The sequence below is a fragment of the Homo sapiens genome, chromosome 19 (genome assembly GCF_000001405.40).
Source record: "Homo sapiens chromosome 19, GRCh38.p14 Primary Assembly".
Classification (NCBI taxonomy): domain Eukaryota; kingdom Metazoa; phylum Chordata; class Mammalia; order Primates; family Hominidae; genus Homo; species Homo sapiens.
Window position 1 is genome coordinate 21,899,742 of NC_000019.10, and position 11,943 is coordinate 21,911,684.

The window sequence follows — 11,943 nt, forward strand, 5'->3', positions numbered from 1 at the left end:
GTGAGCAAGGCTCTGTGGGCGTGGGACCCATTGAGCTGGGCACAGGAGAAAGTCTCCTGTTCTGCCAGTTGCTAAGACCATGGGAAAAGTGCAGTATTTGGGTAGGAGTGTCCCGTTTTTCCAGGTACAGCCTGTTACGGCTTCCCTTGGCTAGGAAAGGAAAATCCCCTGACCCCTTGTGCTTCTTGGGTGAGGCCATGCCCCACCCTGCTTCGGCTCACCCACTGTCCAACCAGTCCCAATGAGATGAACCAGATACCTCAGTTGGAAATGCAGAAATCACCCATCTTCTGCATCGATCACACTGGGAGCTGAAGACTGGACCTGTTTCTATTCAGCCATCTTGGAATGGAATCTACCAGAGCTTTTTCTATAGAAGAGATTTTGATATATTTTGGGGCCCAGCACCTATGTGATGTGACTCTCTTCTCTTTCTTTAGCCATGACCACAGTGGGAGTCCATAACACCACAAAAGTCACAGAGTGAATTGTAACTCTCATGCATACTGTACAAAGCCCTTGAATAGCACTGTGTTTTTACAGAGATCAGCACACAGGTGACATTGTGACACTCATATGCACACCCAGAATCAGTAAAAATTGAATCTTTCCATACAGACACAGCTGACAGTTGAGATTCTGAATCTCACATCCAGAGGCAGTTGAAAGTTTGAAAATTGACTCTCATACATAGACTCATTCCAGAGATAGTTTGATGAGTTTCAGACCAAGATTCAGCACACCTGGAAGGCTGTGACTCCCCTGAGGGGACAGAGTCTGCAGGAGATATTGAGGCTGTCATGTACGTATCTATGCCACAGTTCAGATTGTGACTCATGCACTTATTTTCAACCTGCAGTAGGTGTTGACTCACATACCAAGAACTAGGAAATGTATGAAATTTATAATCTCATCCCAGAACCTTCCTTCAGGTGTGATTGCAACAAACACCTCTTCCAAGCACCTGAGTAATTTAACTCTCCTGCCTGAGCTTAGCTTGCAAATGAAATTGTGACATATCACTGGATTCAGTACCTAGGTGATATGACTCTATTCTCCTGCTTTGGTGCTGCCCATAGGGGACATTGTGACATATCAGTAGGCCCAGATTTTTTTTTTTTTTTTTGTGATTGAACAATGCTGCCTGTACCCTTCTTTCTGAAGGAGATTTTAATGTAATTATTGCTGAGCATCCAGGTGATGTGGCTCTCCTACCTGGTGCCTGCCCTCAGGAAAGATTGTCATGTACATCTTGGCACAGATCACAGATGCAATGATGACTCTCATACCTTGAACCAGCCAATAGGAAGGTATTTTTTCTCTTTAGGCTTAGGGAAATGGGTAAGATCCTGGGTCTCCTCTTTGTATGATGGTCATAAAGGATTACCACACTTTCATTTATCTTACAAAGCTCTCTGGTGGTATGGAGAGTGCCATCACAGGGCCTAGTGCACAAGTGAAATTGTGTTTATTGTATGCACACCCCATCAACCATTAAGATTGTCACCTTCACACATAGAAAGAGCCAACTGATGAGTTTCTTAATCACACAGCTATGAGGCCCACAGTTGGAATTGTGATCATCATATGAGAACATTCTGCCAGAGGTGAGATGGTAACCCATCTCTAAACCCAGGTCATAGGCAAGTGAGGACTATTTGAACTGGACCCAGCCAATTGAAGGGATGTTGACTCTGCTGCTTGGGCTTAGGGTCACAAGTATAATCATGGATTTATGTTAGCATAAAAGTCCCAGAGCAAATTGCAACTCCCACACATACCTTATAAAGCCCTCAGTGGTACAGAGACTATTTTAACAGGGTACAGCACACAGGTGTGATTGTGAAGCTTGTATACACATCCAACTGAAGTAAAGATTGCCATCTTCTTAGATGAACAAAGCCCACTGTCGAAGTTTTGAGTCTCACACCTGGAGGCAGTGGAAAGTTTGAAATTGACTTTCTGTTCCACAGAAGGGTGAGTGACTGTAAGATCAAGATTCAGCACACGTGTGAGAATGTGACTCCACTACAGAAATACAGTTCACAAGAGGGATTGAGGCTCTCACACAGATTCAGTCCAGTGTTGAGATTGTGACTGATGTACTTAGACACAACACAAAGGGCATGTTGGCTCTGTTACCTAGAACTGGGACATGTGCTGGATTCTTAATTTAATCTCTGGACCTTCCTGCAGGAGTGACAGTGACATGTGTCTCTTTCCAGCACCTGAGTGATTTGACTCTTTTGCTTGGGGCCTGCCCAAATATGAGTTTGTGACATATCACTAAAGGTAGCACCTAGGTGATGTGACTCATTCTCTTTACTTGGTGCTGGCCATAAGAGACATTTTGACATATCATGGGCCTTGCAACCTGGTGGTACGAATCTTCTCTTCTGTCTTTGTTTTTTTTTTAAGGCGGCATTGTGACATATTGCTGCCCTGCAAAAGGGTTGTGTGACGCTCCTGCCTGTGCCCTGTCCACATAGACCATTGTAACATATTGTTGGGTCTAACACTTTGGTGATGTAACTCTCCTGCCTGGTCCCTGCCTACAGAGGACATTGTGACATATTTCTCTGCCCATCACCCGGTTGATGTGACTCACTTCTCCTGCCTGGTCTCTGCTCACAGAGGAGATTGTGACATATACCTGGGCCCAGGACCTAGCTAATTTGTCTTTTGTCTTTTTACAGCTTTCTGCCAACAAGAAAGATAGTGATATATAATGGGGTTTAATTCCAAGGTATTAATAATATTGCTATTTTCCCTTGGCCCTGCTCTCAGATGGAATTGGGACATATTGATAGGCCCCAGAAGCAAGGCGATGTGAGTCTCCTGCCTGGAGCCTGTCCACAGAGGGCATTGCTGCGTATCTCTGAGCTCATCAACTATTTGATATGACTCTCCTTTTACTTGAGTTTTTTTAAATAAAAGAGATTTTGACATATCTGTGGGCCCAGCACCTAGGTGATGGAACTGTCTTCTGCCTGAGTCACTCCCACAGATGAGACAGTGACTTATTTCTTGGACCAGCACACTAGTGATGTAATTTTCCTGCCTGATTTCTGCACACAGATTTCACTGTGACATATCTCTGGCCCCATCACCTATATGATTTGACAGTCTTCTTTGTTCTGGGACCTCTCCACAGTAGGCATTGTGATATATCACTTGGCCTAGCAGGTAAGGTGACTCTTCTCTCATTCCTGGGCCTTGCCCACTAAGGTAATTGTGACATATAGCTGGGCTCAGCCCCTAGGTTATGTGAATCTCCTCTTTTTCCTGAGCCCCTGTCTTAGTCCAATTTCACACTGCTATAAAGATACTACCTGAGACTGATAATTTATAAAGAAAAGAAGTTTAACTGACTCACAGTTCCACATGGCTGGGGAGGACTCAGGTAACTTACAATCATGGAGGAAGGCAAAGAGAAAGCAAGGCACATCTTACATGGTGGCAGGAGAGAGAGAGAGAACCAGTCAGAGGGGAAAAGTCAAACACTTTTAAACCATTAGCTGTCATGAGAACTCACTCACTATCCATGAGAATGGTGTGAAAGAAACTGACCCATGATCCAATCACCTCACACCAGGAGCTCCTCCCTTGACACGTGGGGATTACAATTAGAAATGAGATTTAGGTGGGGACACAATGCCAAATCATATTATTCTGCCTCTTGCCCCTTCCAAATCTCATGACCTTCTCACATTTTTAAAACATAAACATGCCTCCCCAGCAGTCCTCAAAGTCTTAACTTATTTCAGCATTAACTCAAAGTTTCATCTGAGAAAAAGCAAGTCTCTTCCACCTATGAGCCTGTAAAATCAAAAAGCAAGTTAGTTACTTTCAAGATAAAATGAGAGTACAGGCATTGAGGAAATGTTCCTGTTTCAAATGGGAGAAATTTGTCAAAACAGTGGCGACATGTTCCATGGAATCTCAAAATCCAGCAGGGCAGTCATTAAATCTTAAAGCTTCAAAATCGTCTTCTTTGACTCCATGTTACACATCTATGTAATACTGATGAAATAAGTGGGCTCCCAAGGCCTTGGGCAGCTCCACTCCTGTGACTCTGCAGGTTACAGCTCCCGTGGCTGCTTTCATGGCCTGGTGTTGAGTGCCAGTGCTGTTTTTAAGCACACAGTGAAAGCTGTTGGAGGATCTATGCAAGCTGTTGATGGGTCTACCATTCTGGGTTCTGGAGGATGGTGGCCCTGTTCTAACAGCTCCACTAGGCAGTGCCCCAGTGCAGACTCTGTGTTGGGGCTCTAATCCTAAATTTCCTCTCTGCATTGCCTTAGTAGTGGTTCTTCATAATGGCTCCACCCCTGCAAAAGACTTATGTCTGGACATTCAGGTGTTTTAAACATCCTCTAAAATCTAGGCAAAAGTTACCAATTCTCAACTTTTGTCTTCTGGGCACCCACAGGCCCAAGACCACATGGAAGCCACCAAGGCTTGGGGCTTGCACTCTCTGAAGCAATTGTCTGAGCTGCAAGTTGGCCCCTTTTAGCGATGGCTGGAGCTGGAGCAGCTGAGACACAGGGCACCAATTCTTAAAGCTGCACAGAGCAGAAGCCTGGGCCCCACTCATGAAACTATTTTTGACTCCTAGCCCTCCAAGCCTTTGATAGGAGCAGCTGCTGTAAAGATATCTGAAATGCCCTGGAGACATTTTTCCCATTGTCCTGGCTATTAACATTTGGCTACTTGTTACTTATGCAAATTTCTGCAGCCAGCTTGAATTTCCCTCCAGAAAATATGCTTTTTAAATTTTTCTTTTTTTTTTTTTCTTGAGATGGAGTCTCACCCTGTCACCCAGGCTGGAGTGCAGTGGCACGATCTCAGCTCACTGAAACCTTTGCCTCCGGGGTTCAAGCGATTGTTGTGTCTCAGTCTCCCAAGTAGCTGGGATTACAAGTGTGCACCACTACACACAGCTAAATTTTGTAATTTTAATAGAGACAGGATTCTGCCACGTTGACCAGGCTGGTCTCAAACTACTTGCCTCAAGTGATCCGCTTGGCCTCCCAAAATGCTGGGATTATAGGCATGAACAACCATGCCTGGCTGGGTTTTTAATTTCTACTGCATGGTCAGGCTGCAAATTTTCCAAGATTTTATGTTCTACTTTCCTTTTAAACATAAGTTCCAATTTTAGATTATCTCTCTCAAGTTCAAACTTCCACAGATCTCTAGGGAAGGGGCAAAATGCTGCCAGTCTCTTAGCTAAAACATAGCAAGAATGACCTTTGCTTCAGTTCTCAACAAGTTCCTCATCTCCATCTGAGACCACCTCAGCCAGGATTTCATCATCAATATCACTATAAGCATTTTGGTCAAAAAACATTGAAAACCTCTCTAGGAATTTCCAAACTTTCTCACATCTTCCTGTCTTCTTGTGAGCCCTCCAAACTTCCAACCTCTGCCTGTTACCTAGTTCCAAATTTGCTTCCACATTTTCAGGTTAACTTTATAGCAGGACCCCACTCTGCTGGTACCAATTATCTGTATTAGACCAATTTTACACTGCTATAAATATACTACCTGAGACTGGGTAATTTATAAAGGAAAAGGGTTTAATTGACTCACAGTTTCACACAGCTGTGGAGGCCTCAGAACACTTACAATCATGGCAGAAGGTGAAGGGGAAGCAAGGCACGTCTTACATGGCAGAAGGAGAGAAAGCCAGTGAGGGGAGACCTTCCAAACACTTTTAAGCTATCAGATCTCATAAAAACTCACTCACTATCATGAGAAGAGCGTGGGGGGAGCCACCTTCATGATCCAATCACCTCTCATCAGGTCCCTTCCTTGACACATGGGGATTACATTTCAAGATAAGATTTGAGTAAAGGCACAGAATCAAACCATATCAGCCTCTCACTTAGGTGACGTGACTCTATTTTTTTGGCCCTTAACTCAGGGAATATTGGGACATAAGACTGTATTCAGCCCCTATGTCATGTGACTCTCTTCTCCTTCCTGGACTCCACATATATCATGTATTGTTACATATTGCTGGGTTCAACACCTAGGTGATTCAACCCAGTAGTATCTTTTCATTCATCACTGATATTACGTGACTCTTTCCGTCACATAATGGGTCCTCAGTCTTGCCAAATAAAGGCATTGTGATATTTCACTTAATCCTAGCACCTAGGTGATGTAACACTTCTCTTTTGTCTGGACACTTGCATATTTTTGGTAGTGTAACATATCACTTGGCCCAACACCTAGAATATAGGAGGTTTCTGCCAGGGCCCTGCCTACAGGGGGGCCTGTGACATATTTCTCCTGGCTGTGGAACCCAGTACCTAAGAAATGTACCTCTTCTGCCTGCAGTTTGCCAATAAGAAATGTTATGATATATTGATGGGTCCAGCAACCATGTGATATATCTCTCCTGCTTTGGCCTCATCAACAGAGAGCATTGTGACATACCCGCGAGCCAAGCACACAGATGATGTTATTCTGCTGCCTGTGCCCTGCTTTCAGGAGTGGATTGCAATGTAACACTGGCTGAGTACCCAGGTTAATGACACTGTTGCCTGGTCCCTGTTCTCAGGGAAGACTGTAATAGACCCCTGACCCAATATCCAGGTAATATGACTCTCTTGCTCACTCACTACCCACAGTTTTGTTTGTGACATATATCTTGGCCAAGTTCACAGGTGTAATGATGACTCTCATACTTCAAACCAGTAAATAGAAGAGATACTGTCTCTTGTTATTAGGTATTGGCAAATGAGTAGAATGCTAGGTCTCCTCTGCACAAATGTTATAGAGGTATTCCACTCTTTTAAATATGGAATAAAGCTCCTCAGTGGCACAGAGTGTTTCAGCACCCAGGTGAGATTGTGTTTTCTGCATGCACACTTTTCAACCACTTTGAATGTCACCTTCACACATAGACAGAGCCCACTTCTGAGGTCCTGAATTAATACATGACTTGTGTACTTATATCCAACATACTGAAAGTGCTTACTCTCATACCTAGAACCAGGACATGTGCAGAATTGTTAATCCTTTTACTGAACCTCCCTGTATTTTTGATTGGGACATATGCCTTTGAAAAACATTGAAGTAATTTGACTCTTGTTCTTTGACCCAGCCTTCAGATGGGATTGTTTCATATAGCTGAACCAGCACCCATGTGACTCTTTTCTCCTGCCTTGAGCTGCACACAGGGGGCATTGTGACATAATGCTGGGTCTTGAACACAGGTTATGTAAGAATCCTTTTCTATTTTGGTACATTTTGAGATGGAGTTTCATTCTTGTTGCCCAGGCTGCAGTGCAATGGCACGATCTCGGCTCACCACAACCTCTGCCTCACAAGTTCAAGCAATTCTCCTCCCTCAGCCTCCTGAGTAGCTGGGATTAGAGGCATGTGCCACTGCACCTGGCTAATTTTGCATTTTTAGTAGAAGTGGGTTTTATCCATGTTGGTCAGGCTGGTCTCCAACTCCTGACCTCAGGTGATCCGCTCACCATGGCCTCCCAAAGTGCTGGGATTACAAGCGTGAGTCACCACACCTGGCCATCTTGGTATTTTTTACAGAGGGCATTGTAACATATTGCTGGGCCCCACACTAAGTTTTCTGTGAATCTTTTGTGGCCTGGCACACTTACTGTGACATATGGCTGCGTCAAACATGCAGGTGATGTAACTATTCTGCCTGAGCCCTCTTTACAGGGAGCATTGTGACATATCTCTGTGTCTGTTACCCCAGTGATGTGACTCTCCTCTGCCTGATTCCTGCTCACAAACAGAATTGTGACATTTTTGCTGGACCCAGCCTCTAGCTTATGTGGCTCTATTCTCCTGTCTTGGTGCTGCCCGTAGGGGACATTGTGACATACTTCTTGGCCATGAACCCAGGTTATGTGAGCCTTTCTGTGCCCTGCCCATGTGGACAATTGTGACATATTACCGAGTCCTACACCCAGGCGATGCTACTCTCCTGTCTGGTCCTTGCCTACAGGGAACATTGTGACATATCTCTTTGCCATTCATCCAGGTAATGTGGGTCTTTTGGTTTTTCTTGTTTTCCCTCACAGGGGAGATTGTGACATACTGCTGGGCCCAGCATTTGGTTATGTGACTCTATATTCCTGTCTCGGAGTTACCCACAGAGGGCAATGTGCCACATCACTGGACCTTACATCCAGGTGATGTGAGTCTCTTTTTCTGCCTTGGCACTGCCCCACAAGGGTTACTTGATTCTCCTGCTTGTGGTCTGCCCTCATGGGTCATTGTGACATATTGCAGGGTCCAACACCCAGGTTATGTGACTCTCTTGCCTGGGCCAGGGGAACAGGGGTATTGTCACATATCTCTGTGTCTATCACTCAGGACTCTTTTCCTGTCTGGTGTCTGCTCACAGAGGAGATTTTTACCTATCACCGAGTTCAGCACTTAGCTGATGTAACTCTTCTCTGCTTCCTAGGTTCTGCCCACAGGGAAGATTGTGGTGAATTACTGAACGCGATACCTAGATGAAGGTACTCTTTTTCCTAGGCCATGCCCTGTGAAGACATTGTTGCATATTTCTTTGTCTAGCACCAAGCTGATGTGAGTCTCTGCCTTGACCCTACACACAGGAAGCATTGCAAAATATCTCTGTGCCCATCAACTATTTGATGTGACCCTTATCTCTTATATGACTCCTTCTTTAGGAGATATTCTAACATATTTTTTGGGCTAGCAGTGAGGTAATGTGACTCTCTTCTTCTGCTTGTTTCATGCTCACAGAAGGGAGGGTGACTTATTGCTGAACCCCTCACACAATGGGCACATCACACAAACAGATGTGTCACAATGACCCCTGTCAACAGGGGTCATGGTGACATATATTCAGGACAGTATTCTAGATAATGTGACTCTCCTCTTCTTCCTGGTACTTGTCTGCAGTGACGATTGTGACATATAGATTGGTACAGTACATAAGTGATGTGAGTCTCTTTTCATGAGCACAGACTCAGGATGTGAGTCTGTGCTTTGCCCATTGAAGAGATCATTTCATATAGCTGCTCCCTGACCTTGATTTTGTGACTTTCCTCTTTTTCCTGAGTTCTACCTGCAGTGGGCATTGTGATATATCTCTGGGACCCCCACCTAGGTGAGGTAGCCCTCATGCATGGGTCATCCTTTCAGTGGGCATTGTGACACATTTCTGGACCGAGTACTTAGGTGATGTTACTCTCCTCAATTGCTTTTATGCTGCCAATGACAGATGATGATGTTTTGCTGGGCCAGACACCTCAGTAATGTGACTCTTCTCTTTGGGCTATGCCCTGCATTCATTGCATATTGTGACATATTGCTGGGCCTAACACCTAGTTGATGTGACTCTCCTGAATGGGCCTTGCCATATTTTCACTAATCACCTAGGTGATGTAACATTCCTCTTCTGCCACGGCCTCACCAAAAGTGGGAATTGCTATATATGACTGGACTCAGCATCTAGGTGATGTGACTCCTTTTTTACCTGATCATAAGATATACTGGGTATTGTGATATGTCACTGGGCCCAACACTTATGGGACAGAAGGCTCCTGCCTCAGCCCTGCCCGGAGGGGGCCTTGTAACATTCTCTACATCCATAACCTAAAAAATGTTACTCTCCTATTCTGCCTACACCAGCCAACAGAAAAATTTGTGACACATTACTAGGCCCAGGTGACTTGCTTCTCTTGCCTGGGCCTTGCCAACAGAAAGCATTGTGAAATACAGAAAACACCAGCACACCGGTGATGTTACTCTGTTTCCTGTGCCCTGCTTTCAAGAGGAAATTTTAACATATCACTGGCCAAGCACCCAGGTGCTGTGTCTCTCCTGCTTGGTCCCTATTTCCAGGAAATATTGTGACATATTTCTGGCTGAGCAAACAAGTGGTATCACTCTTCTGCTCCCTACTTATTTACAGATAAAATTGTAGTATGTATTATGGCCCAGGTAACAGGTACAATAATGAATCTCATACCTTGAACAGCTAATAAAAGAGATACTGTCTCTCATAGCCAATCATAAGAAAAAGAGTAAGAAACTTAGTCTTTTCTTTGTACGAGTGTCATAAAGAATTACCACTCTGTCACATTTTGTAAAAGATAGCACAGAGAGAAGCATTACAGGGCACAGCACAAACATGAGGTTGTGTTTTCTGTATGTACAACTCTCCAACCATTAGGATTGTCACTCTCATATATAGACAGAATTCAGTGGTGGTGATTTGAATTCCACACATGGAATAAGTCTACAGCTGAATTTGTGACTGTTATACATGAATATCTGGCCACAGTTGGAAGGGTGACTCATTTCTAAACCCAGTTCATAAGCAAGTAATGGCTTTCCCATCTGGTCCCAGCCAGTTAGAGAGATATTGACTCCCATAGCTGTGCTTAGTAAAACAGATCCAATCTGTGGTTCATATCAACATGAAGGTCTCAAAGCAGATTGAGACTGTCATACATATCATATAAAGACCACAGGTGATACAGAGATTGTACTAACAAGGCCCAGAACACAAATGAAATTGTGACATTCACATGCACACCCAGCCAACAGTAAATATTTTTATGCTCTCACATAAACACTGCCCACAGTTGAGGTTCTGAATCCTACATCTGAAGGCAGTCAAATGTTAGAAAATTGACTTGTATACATAGATCTGGTCCACAGGTTCATTGTTGACTTTCACACTATGATTCAGCACAGCAGTGAGTCAGTGACTTTACTATGAAGACACAGGGTACAGGAGGAATCGAGGCTGTCTTGCAGTCCACTGTTGAGATTGTGATTCATGTACACCGACTCAACATTCAGGAGGTGTTGACTCTTAGACATAGAACTGGAACATGTGTAGAATTGTTAATCTCACCCCTGGATCTTTCTGCAACTATTATTGTGACATATGCCTCTCCCAGCCCCTGAGTGATTTGACTCTCTTGTTGGGGCCCAGCTGACAGATGGGACTGTGGCATATTACTAGACTCAGCACCTAGGTGAGGTGACATTATTCTTCTGCCTTGGCACTGCCTACTTGGGGCTTTATGACATATGTCTGGGTTCATAACTAAGATGAAGATTTCTCTTATCTTGCCTTGTCTTTGCTCACATGTGAGATAGTAACATATTGCTGGACTCTGTACCTAGTGGATGTATCTTTCCTTCTTCTGAGTTCTGCTCACAGGGGAGATTGTAGCATATCACTGGGCTCAATACCAAAGTAATGTTACTCTTGTGACACATTGTGACATATTGTTGGGCCCAGAACCAAGGTGATGTGAGTCTCTTGCATGGAGCCTGACCACAGGAACCATCATGACATATTTCTGAAAGCTCAACTCTTTGATGTGATTATATTCTTATACCTGCTCTTTGCCCATAGGAGAGACTATAACATACCTCTTGGCCCAGCACCTAGTTGATGTAACTCTGCTCTCCTGCCTGGGCCACACCTACAGAAGAAAGAGTGACTTCTCACTGGGCCAGCACACAGGTCATGTTATTTTACTGCCTTGATCCTTGTCCACAATAATCATTGTACATAGTTTTGGGCTCTTCTACTAGAAGACGTGAGTCTCCTCTTCTTCCTGGGATCTGTCCACAGGGGGGATTGTGACATATCATTTGACCCAGCACCTATATGATGTGACCATCATCTGATGCCTTGGCCCTTCTCACTGGGCTGATTGTGACATATAACTGGGCACAGCTTCTAGGTTATGTGACTCTTCTCTTCCTCCTGGGTCCTACCCATAGGAGGCATTGTGACATATCTCTAAGCACTTAAACTAGGAAATATGACACTTTTTTCTGGGCTCTCCCCTAAGAGAGTACTGTGACGTATTTCTGGACCCAGCACCTAGGTGATGTTACACTTCTCTCCTACCTGTTACCTGTTACTGGCAGCAAATCCATATGGGCATGGATCTG

General features: G+C 44.3%; 1 long non-coding RNA gene across 1 annotated transcript; it reads left to right on the plus strand.

Moving 5' to 3' along the window:
* The first annotated feature begins 7,938 nt into the window (after positions 1 to 7,938).
* Positions 7,939 to 11,479, plus strand: LOC105372326 (uncharacterized). The gene is made up of 3 exons (XR_936436.4): positions 7,939 to 8,026; positions 8,456 to 8,510; positions 11,396 to 11,479. It is a non-coding gene; the product is annotated as an uncharacterized LOC105372326 (long non-coding RNA).
* The last annotated feature ends 464 nt before the right edge of the window (positions 11,480 to 11,943 follow it).